General features: G+C 39.6%; 1 protein-coding gene and 1 long non-coding RNA gene across 3 annotated transcripts in view; one reads left to right on the forward strand and one right to left on the reverse strand.

Moving 5' to 3' along the window:
• Positions 1 to 1,403: 1,403 nt before the first annotated feature.
• Positions 1,404 to 24,216, reverse strand: LOC101927961 (uncharacterized). 2 transcript variants are annotated; one of them, XR_243875.4, is made up of 5 exons: positions 23,849 to 24,216; positions 22,734 to 22,826; positions 12,280 to 12,369; positions 10,569 to 11,666; positions 1,404 to 1,522 (listed from the first exon to the last, which is right to left on the reverse strand). It is a non-coding gene; the product is annotated as an uncharacterized LOC101927961 (long non-coding RNA). The 2 variants fall into 2 exon arrangements; XR_430098.4 differs by having other exon boundaries at positions 12,236 to 12,369.
• SLC14A2 (solute carrier family 14 member 2) overlaps positions 10,811 to 25,163 on the forward strand; it is a 515,726-nt gene continuing 501,373 nt past the window's right edge. The window contains exons 1-2 of the mRNA NM_001371319.1: positions 10,811 to 11,056; positions 24,030 to 24,118. The gene's annotated coding sequence lies outside the window, so the exon portion shown is untranslated. The remainder of the gene's footprint in view (positions 11,057 to 24,029; positions 24,119 to 25,163) is intronic.

Below are 25,163 nucleotides of genomic sequence, written 5' to 3' on the forward strand. Positions count from 1 at the left end.
AAGAAGTTGCATTTTTGACTTGTAATTCACATAGAAAATGAGAGCATTTCAGATTTTGTTTGCATGTAACTGTATTGAGGGTTCCCTTCTTCTCAAAATGAAGCTGCTTGGAACCTCTTCACAGTAATATTTCTCTACCGTGAGTAAGTCATAAATACTCAGGGCCATTCCTGCCAATCTAACAAACCAAGCTGAAGTGGACCCTGGTAACTGTTGACCTCAGGGCTCATTGGAGGGGACTGGCTGAAGTCTTCATTAGGCAGGCACCTGGAAGGCTTAGGAGGGCCCCGAGGCAGCTCCAGGGCATGTGAAGAGCAGTGTTACAGCCTCAGAGACATGGATACCAGTCCAGGCTCAAACATGACTTGTTTGGGACCTCAGGCGGGTCTGTTGAGCTTTCAAGGACTCAATGCCTCCTCTTTAAAATGTGGATAATGATCATTATACCACTTTACCTCACAATGATGGGGTGAAGATTAATGCTGATTATAGTTGTGAAAGTGTTGTATAAAAACAAAACACTATTATTATCTTTAGTAATAGTCTTCTTAAGTCTTGCCATAGCTGCCCTGGGACTGTAATCTATGGGACCACTTTATAATGAGCTCTTTTGGGAATTCCTCTGACCAAATTTCCTTGGATGCCATTCAAATTGGACCAGTATCATAGTCTTAGAGAGTGTTAAGAGCTAGAAGCAATCATAATAGATCTAATTTAACCCTCTCATTTTACAGAGGAGGAAGAGTCCTAAAGAAAGAGAAGAACTTGCCCTAGGTCACCCACGTACAAAATAGAAAAGTTGGTGTAGGAGCACACAGCCATGCATAGTGCATACACTGAATTCTACTTTTACACAAAGTGTACATAAACCAAACCCACTTCTTCCTTTCATGGCAGTTATAGGTATGGATTGATCCCTCCCCCTTTCAGACTTTGAGTCCCTAAATAGTCCTCCCTAGTTTTCAATTTGCCAGTGCGATCTCATTTTACTTACTGCCACAGTGAGCTTCTTAAAGCACATGTCTGATCACAACACACACACACATGCACACACATATTTTAAAGCTTCTCCATTATCTTCAATATAAATTTAATATTTTTTAAGTAGAGGGAATAAGTCATTCTAGGATCAGCCACGCTTCCATCTTACTTTTGGGCTCCCTTTCACATGGACTTGACCCTCTAAGCCTCCTGACCTTGCCATTTGCCTTCCATGATTTCCCTTCTTCCCTTTACGAGTGATCTTCCCTCTCCCTCGAGTCTTCTTTCCCCACTCCATTATGTGGCAAATCCCCCCAGTCGTCCATTATGCAACTTTCTCTCCCCACCCCCAAGCCTCTAGTCATAGGTACTTTATTCTCACCCCACACACCTGCTCATTTTAACATCTGCACACCATGCAAGTTGGAAAGGGAAGATCAGGGTTGGCATAACTGAACTTTAAAGTCTGTGTCAATCTCAAACTTCTAGCAATTTGTGCAGTCATTGAGGAATGGAGCTTTGGGGAAGACTTTTGATGTAGCTGTAGAAATTTGAAAGATAAAAGAGTTTGAAAAAAGCAGAGAGAAAAAGATATATCAATATTTGCTTGTTCGTGAAATGTTTTATAAGACACTTAAAGCTGTCTGTCACCCAAGTTATATTATAATGTCCTTTACAGTCAGAGTGCATGTCTAATTCTTGACTCTTGCTCATCCCTGTACCTCATGCCCAAACCGTGCTCTATATGCAGAGGTGAGGTGGTACAATTAGGCACATTTGTCTTAGAATATCGCAAAGGAAAATAACACTACTCTGTCAGTTTGGCCGCATACTGTCCTCTCTCCTTTCTCCTCCTCCTTTCCCTCTTCCTCTCACTCCTCCTTCTCCAGGTACTTCTCAGGGGAAGGTATAGGAAGGCTAAGAAAGAATGTTCTAGATCACTCAGAAGACACTGTTCAGTTGCTTTTGTAACCCCATTCCATCCCAGACTAAGTGAAGAAAATTATTCTAAAAACACAACTCAGTTATTATAGAATAGCTCTACAGATTTTTAGTGCCTATATTGTTCAAAAGCACCATTATTAGATGTCATAAAAACCTATGCAGCAGGTGGATACCAATGCTATGATGTCTGTGTATCAGACAGAAAAACTGAGTCTAAGGGGGTTTATGTTACAGACCTAATTGGAAATGCTTGTCTTGGAAACCAGGGCCCTGACTGCCTATTTTGTGATCACCAAGGGCAAAGTGCTTCTGCAGACAGAGAGAACTTGAGCCTCCTATTTACCCCTTTGGTGATGGAAGACATCCCCACCCTAAATTAATACTAGATGACTGCACACCTACACTGACACCATGCAGATGAGGCTGGCAGCAGTTTATTAGTCATGTGTACTCACAGTCCAGGGGTTGAGCCGGGGAAGAGGACACCACACATCATGTAAGGCCACCTAGGGGTTGCACTCAGAACAGAGGGAACCATCAGGGGATGTGGGAGGCAGGCTTTGTAACAACGAGGGTAAGGTGACCCCTGGTTCCCACAGGAGGATGTGATTGGCTTGTTTGCGTAACTGCTGGCTGGAAGGGAGGTGAAACCCATTAGGTTAAGCGCTGGGAGGGGTGCAGCTTGTCTAGTTGATAGTAGAACTAGCCAGGTGGGAAGCCTTTCTGCTGGGTTGGGGACATCTCTGGAGAGAGCAGAGGAACTCACACTTAGGGCCTCGTGGTCCTGTGAGGCTCAAAGGTGTCAAGGCAGCACATGAAGTATTAGGTCTTACAATGCAGCTTTCCTTCCCTGTTCATAGAGCATCTGCTCTGCAGAAAATACTCTAATTCATTGGCACTTCCCTTCAGGCTTTCACTAAGATCTTCTCTCTCACACAAATAACTGTTCATGAAAGAATCCCGTCAAGGAGCTGGCCTGTCCCATGATGGCCCGATAGATAAGGAGGCCTGACATTAATTCACTTGCCTAATGAATAACATGGTAAAGTCTTGGTTCGATAAGTGCACCACTTACACCAAGGTCTTTCATTCACATTCAGCTTCATAAAATGGACATCCCTGTAGAAACCAATTGAATATTGTTGGTGTCTGGGATAATGAACAATGTCAGCACACTTCGAAGATTAAAGAGCTACACCAAGGGGAAGTGGCAGCAGAAGAGACGAGCTTTGCTTAGTGAAGGTCACCATGGCCTCTCATGCTTGGACCATTTTCCCCACTGAAGGCATCATGATAACCAAACCATTCTTCAGTTTTTCTTTTCTAAAAGCCTACAGCTTTGAATCTCAAGATTTCATTGAAAGCATCTGATTTCCAAGAATGTTCATGTTCAATGACACTTACAATAACTCACAAGACTAAAAATTTACCTGGTTTTCCAAACAGGTTTTATGTTATTAGGGTTATGTTCTGACCCTCCCCTTATCCCCAAATCTCCTAATATTCAAGGTATAATTAGTGGGCCAGATAGAAATAGAAGATGTTTGCATCTTCTCTCCTTACAGATGTTGTCTCTGCACTAAAATTTGCAAGAATAGTGAATTTGTAGTGGTCCCATATCTGGTACCTGCAGACATATGGACTCCTCTGTCTTTCTGTTTGCTACATTGTGATGAGCAATACAATTTGGGATTTATGCAGCAATAGAAAATGGCAGGCCTATGGAAATTAAGATATTATGTCCAATTAAATGCTTCTCATTCCAGCCTGCACATGAGAATGATTTGTGGATTTTCTCCTGTTCCTTTTCAATGTTCTTTGTTTGGTATTTTGTTTGTTTTACAGGTTCCTGTACTCCTTCTGTTTCTACTGAATTCATATTTCCTGGGCAGAGGCTATGCAACAAACTGCACGTGTGATTCACATGTTACTGTCATGCATAACCAGGGGCAAGAATCCCTGATACCTTTTGAATAGAAAGGCTTTAGCGGTGACTACACATCCAGAAAAATCCATAAGTTCAGATCAGGGAGCAGTTAATATGGAGAAAAGCAAAGAGGTCCAGAAAAGAGAAATCAAAGACAGTCAAAAATTGCTAGGAATGAAAACAAAATTAAAAATCAAGCAATAAAGAGACAATTAAATAAGGAAAATTATAAAAATGGCTTTAGATGTGAACACCATGCAACCTTTATTGTAAATATGACCTTTTTCCCCAAAGCCCTAGTTTTATATTCTACCAGGGCTCATGGAAGTCAATTTGGAGTTGTAGCTGGAATATAGTGAGGCAGGTTTGGACAGATTCAGATTCCAGATAAGCCCAAGGGTGGGAAGGGTGGTGAAAGGGGGTTGGCACAATGAATTCTGCAAGGTAACACACAGATTCCAAATACAATAATTTTAGAATATATACATATATATATATATGTTCAACATCTGTCCATCTTGAAAGAGTTATTGACATAATTAACTACTTTTACTAGTAAGTGACTTATACCAAAATTTTACTAGGAGGATTTTTTAAAAGTAAAAATTACTGCCCTATCCTCAGTGAATTAAAAATCTGGTTTTGGAGGCAGTTCTCACAAAGTGTTGATTATGTGATTTAGCCTTATGCCAAAGAGGGAAAAGTTAGGATTGGTTGAATTCATCTCTTGCTGTTTCCCTACATGTTCCTACACTCCAGAGAAGCCAGAATGTAGGAACATGACTTCTCTTCTTCCCTTTATGAGTGATCTTCTACTTCCAGTCTCCTAACATGCCAGGCAGTTTCATGTCTTCCTGTCTTTACTGGTGCGGCTCCCTCTGTCTGAACTAACCCCAACCCTCCATAGCCGCCCAGCAATGCCTTTGCTTCCTGACCAATTCTACCTCAGTAACATCCCTCTATTAATTCTCTTCCTGACCTCTATCTGTCCTCAGAGAACTGACACTTCCTCATTCGCAAGCCTGCCTTCTTTCCGGAGTGAACGTTTTTGGTTCTGACGGGTTAGAAGTTTCACTGTCAGACCAGGTCATGCCTGTTACCTGTTGCCCATGGGTGGTTTCCCTCATGGTATTGCAAGGAGATGGGAAATAGACATACCAAATGGTTAAGACAATTCCTTTTTCTGTTTGTTTTGATTTCTAGAGCCAGCCTTGTGGTAAATATGCATCATGTAAGAAAGAGCAGAAGTACTGAGAAATGCCAAGACCATACTACAGTCATACATGAAGAAAAACCAGGATTGGAATGAGTGAATGGAAGTCATGTAACTTTGACTACATTCAGCTCTTAAAGCAAGGCCATTTAACTATCTTACTATCACAAAAGGAAATATATTTGTATGACTGTTTTCTGATTTTAATTGTATAAAAATATTAACTTACTAAATATTATTGAGTACTCATGCTGTACCAGGAAATATTCTGTGAGTTTTACACACATTGGTCCATGTTATCCACACAATGTCACTACAAGATAGGTCGTTTTGCAGCTATAGGAGCTGAGGCTGAAAGCAACATAGCCAAGAATGAGCAGAGATGGATTTTAAACCCAGATTGTCAGGTCCTGCAACCTACACACATAATCATTATGCTTTGTTTAGGGTAATCAACTGTCCTGGTTTCTCTAGAAATAAACAGGTTCCTGTTACCTAGAACGTTCATTGCTAAAACCAGGAATGTCCTAGGCAAACTGAAACAAATTGGTCACTCCAGCTGTGCTACAGGATCAGGGCAACTGCAATGAGGTCTTAAGGGAAATGTTTGTTTGCTAGGGCTCCTGTAAAAGAGTATCACAAACTGGCTGGCTTAAACAACAGAAAATTGTTGTCTCAGAGTTCTGGAGGCCACAGCTCTAAAATCAAGGTATAGGCAAAGTTAGTTCTTTCTGAGGGCTGTGAGGGAGGGATCTGTTGCAGGCTCCTCCCCTTGGCTTATAGATGGCTTTCTTCATGTTCACGTGGCATTCTCACTGCATATGGGTCTGCCTCCAAATTTCCCCTGTTTTTAAGAGTGCCAGTCATACTAGATTAAGGCCTACCCTAATGACTTCATTTTAATTTGATGATCTCTGTGAAGACCTTATCTCCAAATAAGGTCACATTCTGAAGGGGTTAGACCTTCAGCATATGAAGTTTGGGAGACACAATTCAACCCAATGCAAGGATCATTTGATAATCAGGAGTCAGGGTCAAGGTCAGGCCATCAAGTATATCATAAGTCTTCCATTTTGTTGTATGTTCAATTCACCTACATAGCATAAAAATCAAACAACAGAAAACATTGCATTCAAGCCCCATAACAGACCAATTAAGTTGGAATTTTGATCATGGAGCCCCAGTGTTGGAAAAATTGTGAAAGCTCCCCAGATTAGTTTAATATACATCCAGGGCTGAGAATCTATTTGAGCTGAGGACCCTGCAACTAGCGGGATCAGAAGAAACAAGGTTGGGGGAAAGGGTTAGACAAAAACATAGAAGGGGAAAGTATGATCAAGGGTTCGTATTTATAGCAAAATCCCCCATTGGAATTGGGAGTGGTGGCACCAGGAGTTCAGGAGACAGAGGAAGGTGAGACAGGGTCAAGCCAAGAGGTAGTGAACAGAAGCTATGTGCTGACCTGGGCCAAGGTCTTCAGCTCTTCAGACCTGGGAGGAATCATTTACTGGCAGATAATAGAAAGCAGCTGATTTAAAAGCCAAATCCAGGAACTAGACTTGCTCAAGTGTCTGTCGGAGGCTCTATCTGCCCCTCTGCTGCTGCCGTTTATACAAGTCACAGACTCAGCCAGCCTACAGCCACCTCTAATCAGGAGGAACGTGAAGGATGATTTAATGTCTGAAACGTGGAGGCTCACAGGTACCCCACTTTCAGCAGATACACATTGTTTGAAAATCCAGATTTGTAAAATGGATGCATTAGAGAATATTTACTTCACAAAATGATTCACAGTGGGACTCCTTTAAATAGCCTGTTTCCCCTGGGCCAACTGATTTGATTTGCCAGAAGTCATTGCACACAATAGTTTTCCATAAGCACATCTGGCAAGAAGCATCATGAACAAAGTTTTAGAAGACAATAATTCTTGTGTTTCTGACACCAGTTTTGAACTTAAACACATAGTGCACCTCTCTGAGACTTCATTTTCTTATTTGCAAAATGAGAATATGGGTCCTGACTAGTTTAGTATCTTTAAGCAATGAAATATGTGTGAAAATAATTAGAAAATGCTGAAATGTCTTAACAAAATATATTTATGGAAGCCATTATTAACACTAACATGTGGCTTGAGGAAATCTTATGATTCTATTGTTATTTAGCTCATAATATTGGATGTGATGAGATGAAGATGCTTGCTCCATCAATGGCTTCAGGGAGGATGCTTTATGGCCTGAGCTCTGTTCCAAATTAGGACAATTAGGAAGTCTGTCCCTGACTTCATCACAGTGAAGAGGAGAGAAAAATTTCAGCAGAGAGAATATAGGCAGGGCAGAATGCTAAAGCTGGAGTGGAAGAGAACTGCAGGCACATCAAAGTCATTTCTAGAATTAAGAAGACCAGGCAGCTAGCCTTTTCCACAACAGAGGAAGGAAAGTCAGCATTCCCTCCAGAAGCCTAAGCTCCCGTTGAAGTTTGGGCATCTGCAGATGGAAAAAATTAAAATTATTAATAAGAGCCCTGGAATGGAAAACAATCAGTCCAGTGAGGAAAGACTGTGATGAATCAGCAGAAATGGGATATAGGAGAAGGGGCATTGCTGTCTGATACAAAACAAACAATAATGTTGTTGGTGACCTTAGGAAAAAGTTACTAACATGTCTGTTTTTCTTTTCTCTTTTTTTAAATTATACCTTATGTTCTGGGATACATGTGCAGAACATGCAGGTTTGTTACATAGGTATACACATGCCATGGTAGTTTGCTGCACCCATCAACCTGTCATCTACATTAGGTATTTCTCCTAATGCTATCCCTCCCCTAACTCTCCACCACCCCAACAGACCCTGTTGTGTGATGTTCCCCCTGTGTGTCCATGTGTTCTCATTGTTTAACTCCCACTTTTGAGTGAGAACAACCAGCATATCTCTTTATGAGGCAGAATTAGGAGATGATATTAGAATGCCACTGTACATTATAGCTAACTATTCATAAACTTTATTTTGTAATGAAATACATAGTTATCATTAATAGTTCATTTTAATCATTCTTTTGGCTTAAATCATCATGTTTTATAAACAATCTCTCTTAGTGCTTTCAAGTAAAGAATAATCTTGCCTAACTTTTGAGACAAGCTGCTGAGGCCCTGGTGGACACAACCAATTGCCAGCATCCCTTATGAAACTGGGTTGGATAGAGGCTTCTGGAGTTCTGTCCTGCCTATACATTGCACACACAAACCCATTTCCTCCTGCCTGACCCATGCTCTCACCCCATCACTTCTGTGAGAAGTTTCAAACTGAGGAGCAATCAGATTTTCACTTCTCTCTTCATATCCCTCCTCAGCAGCAGCAGCACACATACACAGGGATAGAACTCAAAGCCAGAGGGAACCAAGCAGATGCATAGTGGAGATAAAACATGTAGACAGTATGTGCAGGGAAGCCTGCACCTGAAGAATTAGTATTTTATGCCAAGCCACTTGGGAATACATTTTCGTAAAGAGAATGAAAAGGAATTAAAATGGGAACCAACTGCGTAAAGGAAAGGGTTGAAAGTCTTACAGAACGCTCGTCAGCAGGATTGTTTCAACACTGGCTCATTCTTCCTCTCTGAGTCTAGGTGTTTCTCATTCTGTCTCTGCTCTATTTTCAGGAAGATTCAAGAGGTAAAACAGGACTGAGCCAATCTGGGAATTTGAGAGGGAAACTGACTTTCGTTAGTGAGTTGCATGGAGGGTGTGATAGACCATCAAAAGGTTTGCTCCTGAGCACACCATCCTCCAAATTCCTGAAACCACAAAGTGTGTTGAACAGTTACTGTCTACAGTCACGATTTAGGTCAGCTGGAAAAATTTCTTCTGGAACACAGAGCATTTGATGATAGACATGTCTAGGAAGCATCTAAACATTATCGTGGGAGTCAAGATAAATGAGTTGTCAGACTAACTCCATGTGTTTCTTCAAGCAGGAGAGAATATATGTTTTGGGAGGTCTCTAGTGGCCTTTCCTAAGAAGTTTAAAATACTGTACAAACTAATCTAAAAGTGAATTTGCATGACAGTTCCAGCTTGGGTGGATTCCCCTCACCAGCATTGGAACCTGCTCTCAAGAATGTCAAACTTGCAACAGTGCTCATGTCTGAGGATAAGGTTCTCCAAGATAGGATGGTAATAGGACTTATGATCTGACTCACAGTGTATGCTCAGGTCTTTTATAATTGTTTTCTTTCTTTTCATAAACTGTATTTTAAAATGTGATATAACACAAACATTGCACAACATAGGCACATTGTCCTCAAGATCTTTCTTGGCCCTGACTCAGATTCTATTCTGAGTTTAATTGGCTGGACCCAGTAAAGATGATGATCTGCTCTGATATCCACAGACTGAGGCCAAATTCCAGTCTCAGGACTCACCAGACTTGTGGCATCGGAGCAGTTCACGTAAGTCCCATATGTGCCATAGTTGCTGCAGAAATAGCAATGCCAACATCTCGTAACAACTGGGAAGAATGAAGCAGCAAATACGAGGCGGCTCCCAATACCAAAACTCACTCCCAATGCAAGATCATTAAATGTTACTCTCATGCCCCCTAAACTAGATGTGGTTACTTATCCTGTTCCCCCGAGGCCTCAAGCCTATGCCCCTGTCCCTGAGCTGGTTTGGCAAGAGGCCCAAAGAGGGCGGCACCAGCCTGGCTGACTCTGTGAGGTTCAGTGGCTCTCTGGTCAGGCCTCATAACTCTCTTGATGTGGTGAATTAGGCTACTGTCAGGAACCAGGAGCTGCCCTTCGGGATTCCTAGGGAGATGTTATGGTCAATGGGGGAAAAGTCAGCTAGCAACATCTGGCCCTGCATTGTGACAACTGCTCAGAGAACATCCTTATCTCTGCTTCCTAGTGCTCTATAAAGAGAGGTTATTGCCTCAATCAGCCTCTTGATATATTTTATGTTGACAGTGTGGGACGTAATGACTTTCAAACATATTGACAGTTTAGTTTTTACTACACACCATACACTACTGAGTGATATCACTATTCTTGTTGATTTTTATGTTCAGTTGAGTCAACATTAAGCCTCGGGGCAGCCCTGCATGTCAGATCTTTACCACAAGCCTTTGAGCACTTCTCTCAATAACAACTGACCACATCCAAAAGGAAGGCAAACCAAGCATTTGGGGGCTAATGTTTTCCTCCTATAAACTCAAACAAGAAAGCACATGTGCAACAGAACTGACAAACAATTATTGCACTCAGTGTGTGAAGCATCAGGGCTACAAACCAACTTAAGTTGTGTGGCTTTCCTTATCAAGGCTTTTATAGAGATGGTGAGACATATTTATAAATAAATCTGTAATCCCTGCTTCCCAGGATATGGATGTCTGGGCATGAACAATCAATGGGTGGTTTCTGACTTGGGAACTCCCCATTGAAACTTGGGAACTTAGACCAGCTGCCTCTGAGTCTCACCTTTCACTCAAGCATCCCATGTAATCCACCTACCTGCTAGCAGCAACTGTGCTACCCTTCTGATGACTTTGGCTGGTCCTTGTTCTCAGTTGTTGCCTGGTGCATATCAGATAGGATGCTCTTTGAGCTCTCTGCATGGGAAACCAATTAAGACAATGCTGGACACATAAGCATTGCTCATTTCCCAGTTAAGTTCTGTGGCTTTGTGTCATGACCTGACTGGAGCTCGTATCTTCTGTGTAGCCCTCTTCTATGTGCTTTCCTGCTGCTTCACCATTTGTATAATTGTGAGCTTGGTAGAGGCATCATTGCAGATCTGCTACTAACTCGGCATGGCCAGCTCGACAGAGAGCCAGTTTGTTAAACAGCTTGGTGGGGGAGTTCATCCGTCTTGATGTTGCCCTGAATCTACAACTTCATATTCAATATGCTAAATAATCCTCTTTTCTTTTCGTGTGATTCATGATAGTGTCATCCTCATCAAGCTTTATCTTTCTCATTTCTTGCAATTTTCTCTTAAGGTAACGTATAACTGGCAAAAAGGTGAGTTGCTTTAAATCACCACTTTAAAGTTTTTAATTTATTTCCTAAATTGCTCCTGAGGGAAAGAAAACAATATGATTTCTAGTATGAAATTTCTATTTATGGTGAATACCATGTGGGCTTTGGAGCCAGACGTTCGGTATTTGAATTTTGGCTGAACCTCATACTCATTTTTATATATGTAAAACACTGAGTGCCTCAGTTTCCTCAAGTGTAAAATGAAAATAATGAGTCATGCCTATTCCTTAGAGTTGTGTGTTGATTAAATTCAACCACAAAAAAGAGTGAGAATAGGAGGCATATAAGCAGCACTCAGTAAATAAGGGTTTAATAATATTTTTGAAATGTACTTATATTGGAAGCATAGAATTTACGTACATGAGCCTTTATATCTTGGCAAAAGTGACTTCCTTTTGAAAATTTACTATATTGTGATCTAAGTGCTTAGAATATGGTTTATCATGAGAAATCTTTCTCTTTTGATGAAGCACTCAAATCAGGGCATTGTTTTGGTGGAAAAGGAACTTTTTTTTTTATGAAGCACTCAGGGCCTGGAACATGATGCTCACATCTCATGATGAAACATTCCTAAAAATGAAAAAAAAGGGTTTTCATTATAAAATCTCCTGCTCTCTATATATTAAAACTTTTTGGATATTTTAATTCTTGTGTCAAATGGTGCATAAAGGGTGTTTTATGGTTTTGCATCATGAGACCAAATTCAATGATGACAGGGGTCATGCCTGTTTCATTTTCTGCTGCATATGGGGCCTGGCTCCATGCCTGACACATAGGAGCCACCTCTTGGTTGGTTGTTGACTATATACACAACCATTGAAAGCAAGGATTTGAGAGTTTGACTCACTGAGAGATTAGCCATGTGTGGTTGTTGACTCTAAATACACTCCTCTTGTTTCAACATTGGGGAAAAAATTGGAAAGAAAATGATGTTGATAAAAAGTCATGTTATTTAAAGCCAATTAATAGCCACAAGGTAGATTGTTGATGCAAAACTTCCCATATGAAGTATAATTTTTGCTGAAATTTGACTAAGTGTGATCTGCTGTTGTATGGAATTTTTGTTGATGCTCTTTGGTGAGCCAGTTCATTCTGACGTTGAGACCTGAGGCTACTGCATGTGCGCTTACACAACTCACTCTATAATTGATCTGATGCTGACACTGACACTGCCAGCTCTTACTCAGTGCTTTCCTGCCTCTTGCCTCCTGCCAACTCATTCCTCTTCTAAGGTTGCTTCCACTGGTGTTACCTCCAGAGATTTTGGATAAGGCTGTAATCACAGAGTCAGAGTTACATTAGGTTTTTGCATTTTGTGTATCTCTCTTTATGACAAGTTATCCTGGGCTTAGGTTGAATATAATGAGATATGATGATATTCTGCCAAAGACCATTTCTTCTCCACCATACTTAATCTGTAACCCTGGAATCATCCAGAAAACCCTGCTCCATTTTCCCACAGTGGCTTCTTTACCCTAAACACTGCCCAGAATGTTAAGGATAGTCATAGCCCTTGCTGACTCAAGCCTTAGTCATATTATCTAGCTATTGGGCAATACCATCTACTCATTATTCTTTCCACTTGCACCATCAGGCCATTAGGAAAACAGCACCCCAGGGACCACCCAGTATCCTTGCTCTCAGCACAGGGAATAGCTTTCTCTCAGAACCTGGCCAATAACAAAAACACAACCTAAAAAGAACTAAGTATCTCAAGAGGGCTACAACCAAAATGCCACCTGAGGTTAGAAGAGACAGAGAAAAAATTTCTGGCTGCAATGATGAGTAAAATCTTTCAGAAAGAGATGGTATGGTAGCTAAAGCTGATTCTTGAAGAAAGAACATGGAAAGGGAACAAATAAAAGACTTTGGGGTCACTTTTGAGTCGTGGCTCGGTCACTCTGCTCCCGAGCATTGTTGCATAGACCTGAGGTTCATCATTCTTCATAGTTAGACCAGATTCCTAGAGCTCCTTTTGCTCTACAACTTCACAGATGAGTGACTCTATGAATGGGTAGGATTTGGAGAGGCAGAGGTGAGGAGCATTAGAGACAGAAGCAGAAGGGCAGGCAGAGGTTCAAGGTGTCTTTGGGAAATGTTGAGTAATCTGTGGAAGGAGGTAAGACTCAAAAGGGAAAAAATAGATTCAGTTTTGAAAGGAAGTTAAAGTAAAGAACTTTATTTTGAGGAGAAATGTAGGTTGGTGGTAGAAGGGATATATAACCTTGAATGTTTGCACATGGACACAAAAAGGAACTCAGGACCTTACAAGACATTTCAAATATGTGAGGAGGTTGGTTCAGTGTCCTGCAAGACAGAAATTGTAGGTTAAAGTGTAGCTAGGACAAAATTGTCTAGCCAAAAATGCAGTTCTGCAATGACCTCATAGAACTTTTCAATTCACTAGAAATAGATTACTTTCTATTTTTCATTGTTGCTGGTAACACTGATCACCTGCTCTGGAACCAGTGTTAACTTTCACTGAGTCTCATCCTATTTTCCTGTGGGTCTAGGCAAATGTGACATGGTTATATTGTCTGAGTCTGCTTGAGGAAAAGGCGGCCCATGTTTTGATAACTGGGAGCAAGTCCATCAGTTGTGAAGGAGTCCCACAGGAATCTACCAATTACAAAATGATAAAAGGTGCCATTGGGGGTAGGAGAAGATGCAAAATGTGTAACACCCAGTTGTGTCTCTCACAGAATTTCTAATCTAGTTAGGGAAATCAGACAGACACAGACACTCAAAATGATGAATAATAATGTAAGTACACATGGAATGACTCAAACAGAGATCTATAGGATCTGGGGAAAAGAAGAGAAAAGTCTGGTCAAAGATAGGGTTGTTAGAGTTGGCAAATCAAAATACAGGATGCCACTAACATTTGAATTTCAGATAAATAACAGATAATTTTTATCACACATATGTTCATGAAACATACTTGCACAAAAACATTATTGTTTATCTGAAATTCAAATGTAAGTGGGTGTCCTGCATTTTCTCTGACAACTCTAGTCAGGGGAGATTTTAGAGAAAACGTCTAGTTTATCCTAGGGCTTCGTGGATGTAAAAACCTTTAGAAAAAAAAATGAGATCTTTAGAGGAAAAAGGAAGGTGTATAATGTTTAAAAGGTGACTACCATTTGCAAAGGGAGGGTAAGTAAAATATATAGTCTAGAATTAAGAGCTTATCTTGAAGAGAAATGTGGGCTGTCAGGAATTTACCACTTGAATTACATGGAAATTTTCAATTGATAGGTTCAATGACTTCTGGATTGAAGATGTGAAATTTAGGTAGATATGATTCTTTTGTTTTATAAAAAGTGTATGGACTATTAATGTGGAAGAAACACAAGCAGTCATCTCTCCCCTCATTTACAGATGAAAAAGGGACAGCCATAAGTCATGGAACTGGAACCAGAACTCTGATCTAATTCTCAGGCCAATGTTCTTCCTCTTCTCCATGCTAGTTATATTTTTCTTATTTCTCAGATGAGTAATACCAGATAACAGTAGGCCAAACCAACAATTTATTAGGACCTGGTGGTGAAAGCTAAGTAGTGAAATTCTTTGCTAAATTCTGTCTGAATCACTCAAATCTTCTCAATTTTGGAAATCTTTCTTGGGTGTTCAGATTATTCCCTAAGGCCCAACTTCTTTCGTTAGCCCTCGGTGGGGCAAATCACTACTGGTATCTTACAAAGTTTAGGGAGGCAGTTTTTCTCCTGAGTTCTGGTAGTTGTTATTTTCCACAGACAATGAAATTCTCCACACACAGATTTGTGCCAGAAAATAATCTTCCATGTGTATCAATGTCGTAAGCAGTGACTGGCCTGGGCTGAGCATGCAAATAAGATTTGGCTTCGCTCAAATAATTATTCCCTTAGTTACTTCACTCCTCTTTGCACTCCCCACAGGGACCCTTGCACCAACCTAGCAGTAGCTCATGTGACCCACTTCCTTTCCTAGGCCAACCAATACATTCAACCATCATCAAAACAATTTCTTGAAAGGAACCCAGTAATTCATAAGGTTAATTCAGTGCTCCCCTTCTAGGTGTGATAAAATTTATAATAAGCCAGCATCATTAATACCATAAAATACTGAAGAGGCTAAAATGGAAATGTCATCTCAGAAGTCACCAAGGATTGAAAGTCATGTTTCATCTGAATGTTCATGGATATTGGTGGTAACTGAACACTTTCTGGCAACCCTGAGCCTATGTCTTGTGGATGGTTATCTACCTTGTTTATATGTTTGTTGGGTCATAAAAACTCAATTCACTCATTTATTTATCAGTGGTTTAGGTGTCTTCCATTTGTATAGCACTGTCATTGCCTCATTAAAAGCTATAGCTGAGGAGAGGTGATGTTTAGAAATTGTCTAGTCTTCTGTCTTTATTTTACATACTATTAGGAAACCAAAACTCAGAGAAGTGAATTTTCTGAAGTCATGTCTGATGAACAAAGCTTACGACAAAATCCTACTTCTGTGATCCAATCCAGACTCATCCATAGATTGTCTCAACCTTGATGGAAGTCAATTCATAAAATGTAATAATTGGAATTGCATCCCCAACACAAAACAGCTACTAAAGATTACAGCTGGTATTTGGCACTTTTACTGTTAAATAAACACTAAATTGACACTACCAACTGCCAAGTGCTTTCTCCTAATTTGGAGAAAGTGATAATTTTAGGGAAAGTCACTCTTCTTTTTGAGTTTCAGTTTCTTAATAGTTTAGGATGAGGCAAGGCATAAAGAACAATGGGTCAATGTCACACTGCTTTTAAAGGGGTAAAAATGGGAAGTCACATACTACCATTATTAAGATACCAATGTGATTAGCTGCCTGTGCAGTAATGAGTTTCTTATTAGCTGTAGTATTCACCAACTACATGGCCCTTTGTCAGGGATACTGTATAAGACATTTTGAAATGGGTGGGAGATGGAGCTGGAAGATATATTTAATGTTTCTTCCATCTCTAAGATTCTGTGATCAGAAATACAAAATACTAAAGGAAAACCCACATCTGATCATTTAAATCTAGAAGCAATGACAATAACAACATGAATGAGACATCATATAGGATGCCTAATCATAGTACTGGCTCAAGTATGGAAATTCAGTATCAATGTAATCACGGTTTTCCTTTCATCATCATGCAAGTAAGAGCCAAAGTGTCAAGAGTAAAGGAGATTGCCTGAAAATTTCTCTTTTTACAAAAAGGGAGAAAAGAAAAAAAAAAAAGGAAAAACTTACTGGATGGAAGTTGGAAGATGACTCAGCAAAATAACCCGAGAGAAGTCAGGTCTGCTGTGAACCCAGGTGTTTGGGTGCTGATGGGCTAGTGAAGAGGCCAATAAGTTGTCAGTGGCAACTTGGAAGGTTTTAGAACCTGACTTGGAACTTGAAGCATGCATGGATAATCACAAATAATTTTCAATTATTTTTCCACTAGTGATAACTACTATTTAAAAGTAAATTTCCTTTAGATGCTTAGAAATGAAATGTATGGCTCTGTTTGCTAGCAACCTGGCTGTGGTACTACAGAGAATCCTAATGCATGAAGCTGAAAGAGGGCCCTGAGATGCTGCAACACAGCCCTGCATTTTGCACAAGAGGAAACTGAGCCCAAAAGTAGTGCAACCTGTCTCAGGACACATAGCTAATAAGTGACAGAGCTTAGATTAAGATCAAAGTCACCTGGTTTTATTTTGACTGAATTGGTGGTCATATATTAAACCATTTCCTGAGTTTCACTTTAAACGGTATTATGGAGTAAGCCATTACCTCATGTGAGTGTATGTTACCAGGTCAATTTTTGCATTGATTATGTTTCCCTCCCACCCCAGGGCAGCCCCTGACCTGGGCTCATCATTTCTATTTTAAAGCACAGGGCAGATCAGATATGTACACCTAGGAAATGAGTTTTCTTCCTGGAAGGGAGCATGTCATAGAAGATCTCTCCCACCATGTCAGCATCTCTATTAAGAATGACACTCACTCTGCCTTCCCCCAGTGATGACAGAGTCCTGGCCATTTTTCTTCTTTACTGATGGATTTCCAGGTGACTGACAGATGGTTGTAAGGGTAATTCCTCCTCGACAATTTCCCTCAAATTCTATTCTTTGCTCCACCATTTTCCTAACTACTATCTTGAGAATAATTGTTCTAGGGGGACCACTCTAGCAAGGTTACACATATTCTCTAATTTGCACATTTCTCTCAGAACTGGGAAGAAATGAAACCCTGCTAAAGTGGAGAGAGTCTGCCAGAATCACCGCTTAAAAAAAAGGCAGAGTTTGAATGTCAGTCCTAAATTGTCATCCGTCCCTGCTTCGTTCCACTTCTAATAATAGTCTCATGTACCCTTCTGCACACACACGCTCATGTGCTTATTAACAGAGAATTCAGGAAAGAACGGGTCTTGACCAAAAACACAAGAATTGGATCCTAGGATGGTGCATTAAAAATTGGGCAGGGTAGCAGGGGACAGGAGAAGGACTGGACATGTTTAAAATATGTGAGAAAAGGAACAACCCACTGGATGGATGGATCATGCATATGAACAGAGAGCTAACAGAAAAGGAAATGCAAAAGGCTCTTAAATGAAAAGATGCATGAGCTCATACATAATAAGGGAAATGGAAATGAAAATCACACTGCAATCCCATTTTTTACTTATCAGATTGGCAAAAATCCACAAGATCACAAACATACCCTGTTGTCAAGGCTGTGGGGAAACAGACCCTTTTTAGACATTGCTGGTGGGAATTTAAATGAGTACAACCCCGATGAAGGGCAATTTGGTGATATCTGTCAAAATTACAAATGCAAATACCCTTTGACCTGTAATCCCAGTCCTGGGAATTTATCCCACAGATATACTTGCACAGGTGCAAAATGATATACCTACAAGGTTGTTAATTGCAGCCTTGTTTGTAATAGCAAAGGACTGGAAACACACCAGAAGTCTGTCAATAAGGGCCTTTAAAATAAATCATCATATATCCACACAGTGAAATAATACGTAACTTTAAAAAAGGAAGGAGTTCTCTGTATACTAATTTAAAAAGCTCCCCAAGATATTTTTTAAAAAGGTAAAAAAAAGTGTCATAATATACTATATTTAGTGATTTGAAATGTAGGGGTAAGAAAACGTTTAAAAAAAAATCCTCTGGAAGATTCAGGTGTGGGCAATACCATTAGTTGCATGTGGCAATGCTGAGGTCTTTGTGTGTTAACTGGGCAGGTGGGGAAAAAGGAATGGGTCTCTTCATACTGTTGAACTTTTGTGACTTATGAGTGGATCATGTTCCATGGAAAATAGGACCACAGGCCTAAGATCTTGAATAAGCTGTTTTCTAAGGTGACAGGCAGAAAAAAAAATAAGACTCAGGTTCAGTAAGTCACACCACAAGCTGTTCGCTGAGACGGGTTACAACATTGTGGAATATTCTGTGGTGCTGACTTATTATTGGGCCATGAGGTGAGCAACCTTGAAGAGCCTGCTGTAAAGGGTGCTGACAGCACACTTTTGAAAGGGGTTATATTGTTTGTTCAGGGGAGTAAAACATAAGGGTCTTATCAGCTTGCTGTGCCCTTAATTGGCAGTCTATTTGACAAGTAGCTCTGTCTGTTATAAGGGGCTGATTGCTTCTTCAAGTATCTGGTCAAATAAATAAAATTTTTAAACTATACCATACGACAATTCTCTGGCTAATAACCTTCTATTACTGCCCTGTAAAATTCATGTGAAGAAACGGAATGGAGAATATATCCTTGCAACCAGGTAAAAGGATGCCAATGAGCAGACTGCCAAGGAGGCTCTACTGAGGTCTACACTGGCTGTCCGCCTCTGCCAACCCCTAGGAAGAGAATGAGCTTGCCCACTCGAAGTTGTAAGCACAGCTAATAATCACTAAGGTTCCTAAGCACCAGGCATCAGCAGGAATACTTTGCAAATGCTAATTCACTGAATTCTCACAACCACAATATGTGATAAGTAATATTTATATTTCCATTTTATATATGAAGAAACTGTGCACAGAAAACTTGCTCAAGTCTCCTTAGCTAGCAAAGAAACAGAAGAGGGATTTGAACCCAGGCAGTCTAATTCCAGAGTCTTTGTAATCTTAACCCCAATCCTAGCCCCTTTCTCTGGTTGAGAAACAGGATTTGCACCATATAGAAAATTTCCACACAATTAGTAGTCATTGTCCAGACTGAATTTTTTTCTTCACTTCCTCCCATTCCCAACTAATACTTCCATTTCTATGGCTACTCACAGATGGAAACCCCCAGAATAACATTTTTTACAATCCTCGCTAGAAAAATAGGAAAGAAAGGCTAAAGCTAACAAAATGTCTTATTTGACGTTGTTGACCATTACTCCTTCCAGAAGCCCCCTCTTCCTGTGGCTGCATTCACACACCCTCTCCTGATTTTCTCTCTGCATTGTGGACTTTTCTCACCTAATATGATTTGCTGGCTCATTCTCTTCCCTAGCCAATGAATGTGGAGTTCCACATGGCTCAGTCCTAACCCACTTCTCTATGCAAGTTAATTCCTCTTTCTTGGAGATCTCAAAGATGTCCAGAGCACAGGTCCATTTGCCAAAGACTCACAAATCTCCCAAATTAAGCCCAAACCTTTATTTTGAGCTCCAGATCAGTATTTTAACTGCCTTTTGACATTTCTACTTGGATGTCTTCATGGCTCCTCTAATTGCAATCTTACTAAAAATAACCTCATGCTTTTTCCTTCCAAAACTATTTTTTAAACTTATCTCAATGAAAAACTCTACTAGCAAAGCTGCACAAACCAGGACCTAAGGGGCATGCTTGACTCCTCACTCTTCTTTGTCTCCATTCTTCCAGCACATTTTGTTATGTTGCTCTTCATAAAATCTCTCCATTCTGCCCACTTCCTGCCATTCCTACTCAACTACCCTGGTAGAAGCTACTATCTTCTCTCATGCATTCCACTAGCCCCTAGCTGGTCAACTGTGTCCGTGGTTGACACCCTAATTCATGTTCTTCTCACCAATCAGGTTGATCATCTGAAGACCAATTCTAGCATATCAATCACTACACTGCTTAAAACCTGGTTAGCGGCATTTCATTGGTTTTAGAATGAAGATCAGTGTCCTTAAAAAGAGCTGGCAGGGCCCTACCTGAGCTGGCCTAGGCTACTTTTCCAAAGCCTTGCATTTTATCCTCCCTTTTATACATCGTGTTCCAGCCGCAGATTTTCTTTTAGTCCTGCCTCAGTGTGTGTTGCATGTCCTGTTTCCCGCATCTGGAATGCTCTCCCTCCCATTCTTTTGAATAACTCCCATTCACCCTTCAATTATCAGATTAAATGTTAGTGCCAGAGGAGTCTTCCTTGATCACTTCCAATATTCACTCCATTACTCTTTCCCCTCACAATATACAATAATTCACAACTATATATTTGTGGGATTATTTGTGGGTCCTTCCTGAGACATGAGATCAGATCTATTTTATTAGTAGTTTATTACTAGTGCTTGGCATAGAGTAGACATGCAATTCATAGTTACTAAATAGCCATTTGTTTTGAATGAATAAATGGATAAATGGAAGGGTAAGCCGAAGTAAAGATTTTTAGATGAAGGCAGAGTAAGGACACTGGTACCATGATATCCCCAGGTTTTTCATGTATTTCAAAGATGAAGTTATAGAAGATGGAGAAGTTCCATATCAGAAAAATGTCTTCTTCAGCCTATGCTTCAGCCCAATGTTCAGCTGCAAACCCAAGATTCTACTCATACCCAGGAAGGTAGAGAGAAGAACCACAGGTAAACAACACAGCCTGCTCAGGGGTAATCAGAAGATTGGGCTCCATGTCTCTTCCAGGAAGAAGCAATTTGTTTATTATTAGAATCCATAAACACATAAAACACTTAAAGCAATAGTAAATTTGCATATCAAAACATAAGAAAAGTGAACAGCTATGAAAAACCATTTAATATAGAAACAAGATGAAAATTTGAAAACAGTTTTGCATTCTTAAGCACTAGAATTCAGTCTACATAAAAGAGTGACAGTCATATTAGGAAGGAAAGTAATGAAATAAAAACATAAGTAGATGAAATGAGAGATGAGTAAGATTAAAAAAATGCAAGAAAACATAGCAGAATAAAAGCACACGTTATTGGCATTAAAGAACAAGAAAAAAATAATAAGCCAGTAATTTAGAGAACACCTGAGAAGTTTTACATTAATATGAAATGAAAGCAAAGATATAAATACCTCTGAGTAGAAAAAATAGCAAAAGAATTATAGGCATTCCTGAGGAAGGAGCTAGAATAATTGGAATAGAATCACTAGTAAAATATGCAATGATAATAATATTTAACTTTTATCAATCCCTTGTGTTGTGCCAGGTCTGTGCTAAAACATCACCATAAGCACATAATTACTGCTGCATGGAATAGTACAAGTGGAAGCAAAGTTTTATTTCTACAAATAAGAAAACCAAGGCACCAAGAGGCAAAGTAATTTGCAAAAGATTCTTCAACTTACACATGAGAAATCCTTGATGCATACCCTAGCTCTAGTACCTGTGTTCCTAGTTACCATGATTACTTAATAAAATATTTTTGAGCTGAAGAAAACATCTGATCATGTAGATGGAAGGTGTTAATCACTTTCTCAGTAAAGTTGATCATTAGAAAACTACTACAAGTCTACAGAGAAATTTGTAAAATAGATGGTTGCTGGAAATGTAACCTGGAGAATCCCTGTCTCTGACAGATATAGGTAAACAGTCTTTAATCCCCAAGTCTGTTGCCTGAGACAAAATGAAGTCTTCCCAAGTGACTTCTAAAATTTCCCAGGGAGTTTGCTTCCTCTTTAGCCTCTTCCCAGACACTGCCCATTCCACCCTTATCAATTTGCATGGTAGACTCAGGCCCTTCATCAATTTCTATGGATCCTGTATCATAGCACACCAAACAATCTATTTGCATCTATGAGTTTAGAGGTTTGAGAAAGGTCGGAGAGGCCATTGCAGAGCATGATGTGGCCTTCTGTCATCGCACTGGCTTCCCTCTCTCCCATCAGCCCATTTCTCTCCTCTCTCCCACCATGGCCTCAGGCTGGAAGTCTAACCAGCTTCCTTTGCCATAGGAACATGCCTTCAGAGTCTCACCTTTTAGCTCTGGCAGTTTCTTAATGCACTCTTTTGAAGAAGGAAAACAAAAACAAAACACAGGGTTCTTCCTAAAAGTTATTCTGTGAATAATGCTTTTGCCACATTGTAAGAAGAATAAAGATTTTAAAAATTCTCCTAAACATCCAGCTGACATCAGACCTTTCCTCAGTGTCACTGAATGCCGAAGGAGAACACAGCAAGGTTATAGCATAATTTCTATTTGTTTAAAGAATATTCTCCAGGTGAACTTAAACACAATTAATCTGGATTTCATAAATGAAGTAAAAACCATTCTCTGGCATATAAGGGTTCAGAAAATATACCATAAAAGTACTGTTTTTGAAAAAAAAAATTGACAACCTATAGAAAGATTAACTAAAATTGAGAACTTACAAATGATAGGAAGCAGAGCAGATCTAAAAAAAAAAAAATGGGCTGGGCACAATGGCTCATACCTGTAATTCCTGCACTTTCAGAGGCCAAGGCAGGTGGATTGCTTGAGCCCAGGAGTTCGAGGCCAGCCTGGACATCCTAGTGAGACCTTGACTCTATAAAAAATAAACGAAAAATTAGCCAAGTACGGTGGCACACACCTGTAGTTCCAGACACTCAGGAGGCTGAGGTGGGAGAATAGCTTGAGTCTGGGAGGTTGAGGCTGCAGTGAGACGTGATAGTACCAATGCACTCCAGCCTTTTCCACAGTGTGAGACCCTGTCTGAAAAAGAGAAAAAAACAAACAAACAAACAAAAAACATGGGCCTGGAGCCTGATTGACTGCTGGGTTTTAAGTCCTGTCTCTGTTGCTAACGAGTCATGTGACTGGAGCAAGTTATTATCTCTGTGCCTCTGTTCATCTGTAAAATGAGGACAATATTAGCACTCATCTCATAGGGCTGTTGTGAGGATTAATTGAGTTATTATTCTAATGTACTTAAAATTCTTGGTACCTAGAAATGACCATGCAGGTATTTGTTGATTATAATAAGAAATGTGGAAGTTGAAGTATAAAAAATATGGGAAAATAAGCACTGAAATCATTCACTTAAACATAGAATTAAAACTGAATAATTCTTGTAAATGTAGTAGCTTAAAAATAATGTCAATGTTACAGAATTTGAGACATGAGTTAAGAATTGCAAAAAGAATAGTGATTTATTAACAGACTTTGTAAAAAATCTCAGTTTATATTTTAAAGGAAAAAGGGGTATCAAGGAAGTATAATAAAACCATGCTAAATCCCTTCCCATATTCAACTTAGGATTCAAGAGATTCCATTCCATGTTTTTCTTTAATAGTTATAGAAATATCAACTAAAACTTAGTGAAATGATATTTTTGAAAAACGGAAGAATTCAGAACATGATATAATCCTTTCAAGTCTCTGGGACATATAAAATCAAACAATATATTTTGCATAGCAAAATAAGAAAATAAAAAAGTTTACTGAAGCATAATGAATAGAAAATGGGAAGCAATGTATTATTCAGAGACACTCTTGGGTCATCTAGGGTGAGAAGGGGATTCAGGGAAGAAGGGGCACAGGACACTGTCCTAGCCAACTGGATGGAGACCTGGTATGCTGCACCACTGTGGGCCTGGCTGTACTCTGCTCTCCAGCCTCAGGTAGCTCCCCAACCATAGGACTTGTTCCCTCACTGGTTCACCACTGCAGGCCATCACTGTGTCCACGTCACTGTTTAATGTCCCCAGATGCCACCAACCGATTGCTCTCTCATCTCCTCTCCTCCACAGGACTTGCACACGAAGTCTGTATGTCCGTAGGGCTTTGTACATCACTCTTGCAAAAGGACTCTCTTCGTCTTGCTTTCAGACTTCTTCAGGTGAGGGAATAATTGAGTTGCCCACTCAACACTCTATGGGGTAACCTGCTGAGATATCGGGTGCAGCCATTTCAGAGGCTCTCTTTGGATCAAGTGCCACTCCCTGCTCAGGGTGGCAGAGGTACAAAGCCTCAGGAAGGTGGTGTGGGTGGGGCAGGCACTGTGGCCTCACAGAGGGAGGTAGTTTCACACACTGGGTCACCGCGTGGTCTTTTCAATTACCTCCATGGAGGGCCAAATAAAAGATGGCAAGAGGGAATGTAACTTCTTCCAAACCTGCTTTTATCAGGCTCTTGGTTTATAAAATTCCCAGATACATATGTAACAGAATCAAGCAAATTCAAGCATAAAAAAATGACAATATTAATTTCAGATAAACTAAAATTAAAAGAAATTGCACAAAATAAGATAAAGGGTCCATTGTAATTGATAAATGATGTCTTCTGAAACAGATTTATGTACCAATTAATAACATCAAAATGTATTTGAAACTCATAAGAAATATAAAAAGAAATTTACAGAAAAACAGTTTACTTTAATATATCTGTGCGACTCTTTATTAAGTAGATTAAGATAATTTGAATATAATAATGAGTTTCCATTAATATGTATTAAACAAGAGTTTATTTTTTAACCTGTGCCATTTCTCTTTAAAAACTTGGGTTAAGAGGAAATCAAAAGTACAATTACAAACTGGTTAAAAAGTTCCTAAAACGAGAGAGTATTTATCAAAATATATGATTTATGGCCAAAAGAGAATCATTGGCAAATTCACACCATTATATGTTTTTGTTTATTAAGCAATAAGAAATGAAAGTAATTAAGCAGCCAAGTAAGTTTCAGAGGATTACCACACTAATCTAAAAAATAAAGAGAGTAAAATAGTATGTATAAAATAAAAATCAATGAATTATGAAATAGGAAAATTAGATAAACAGACTTTTAAAAATAATATTTGGTACGTTAGAAAAAATAATCACAATAAATGACCTTAGGAAAATTGAATCAGGAAAAAAAGATAGGATAAGAGACACAGTACTTTTAA

This window comes from Homo sapiens, chromosome 18 (genome assembly GCF_000001405.40).
Source record: "Homo sapiens chromosome 18, GRCh38.p14 Primary Assembly".
Classification (NCBI taxonomy): domain Eukaryota; kingdom Metazoa; phylum Chordata; class Mammalia; order Primates; family Hominidae; genus Homo; species Homo sapiens.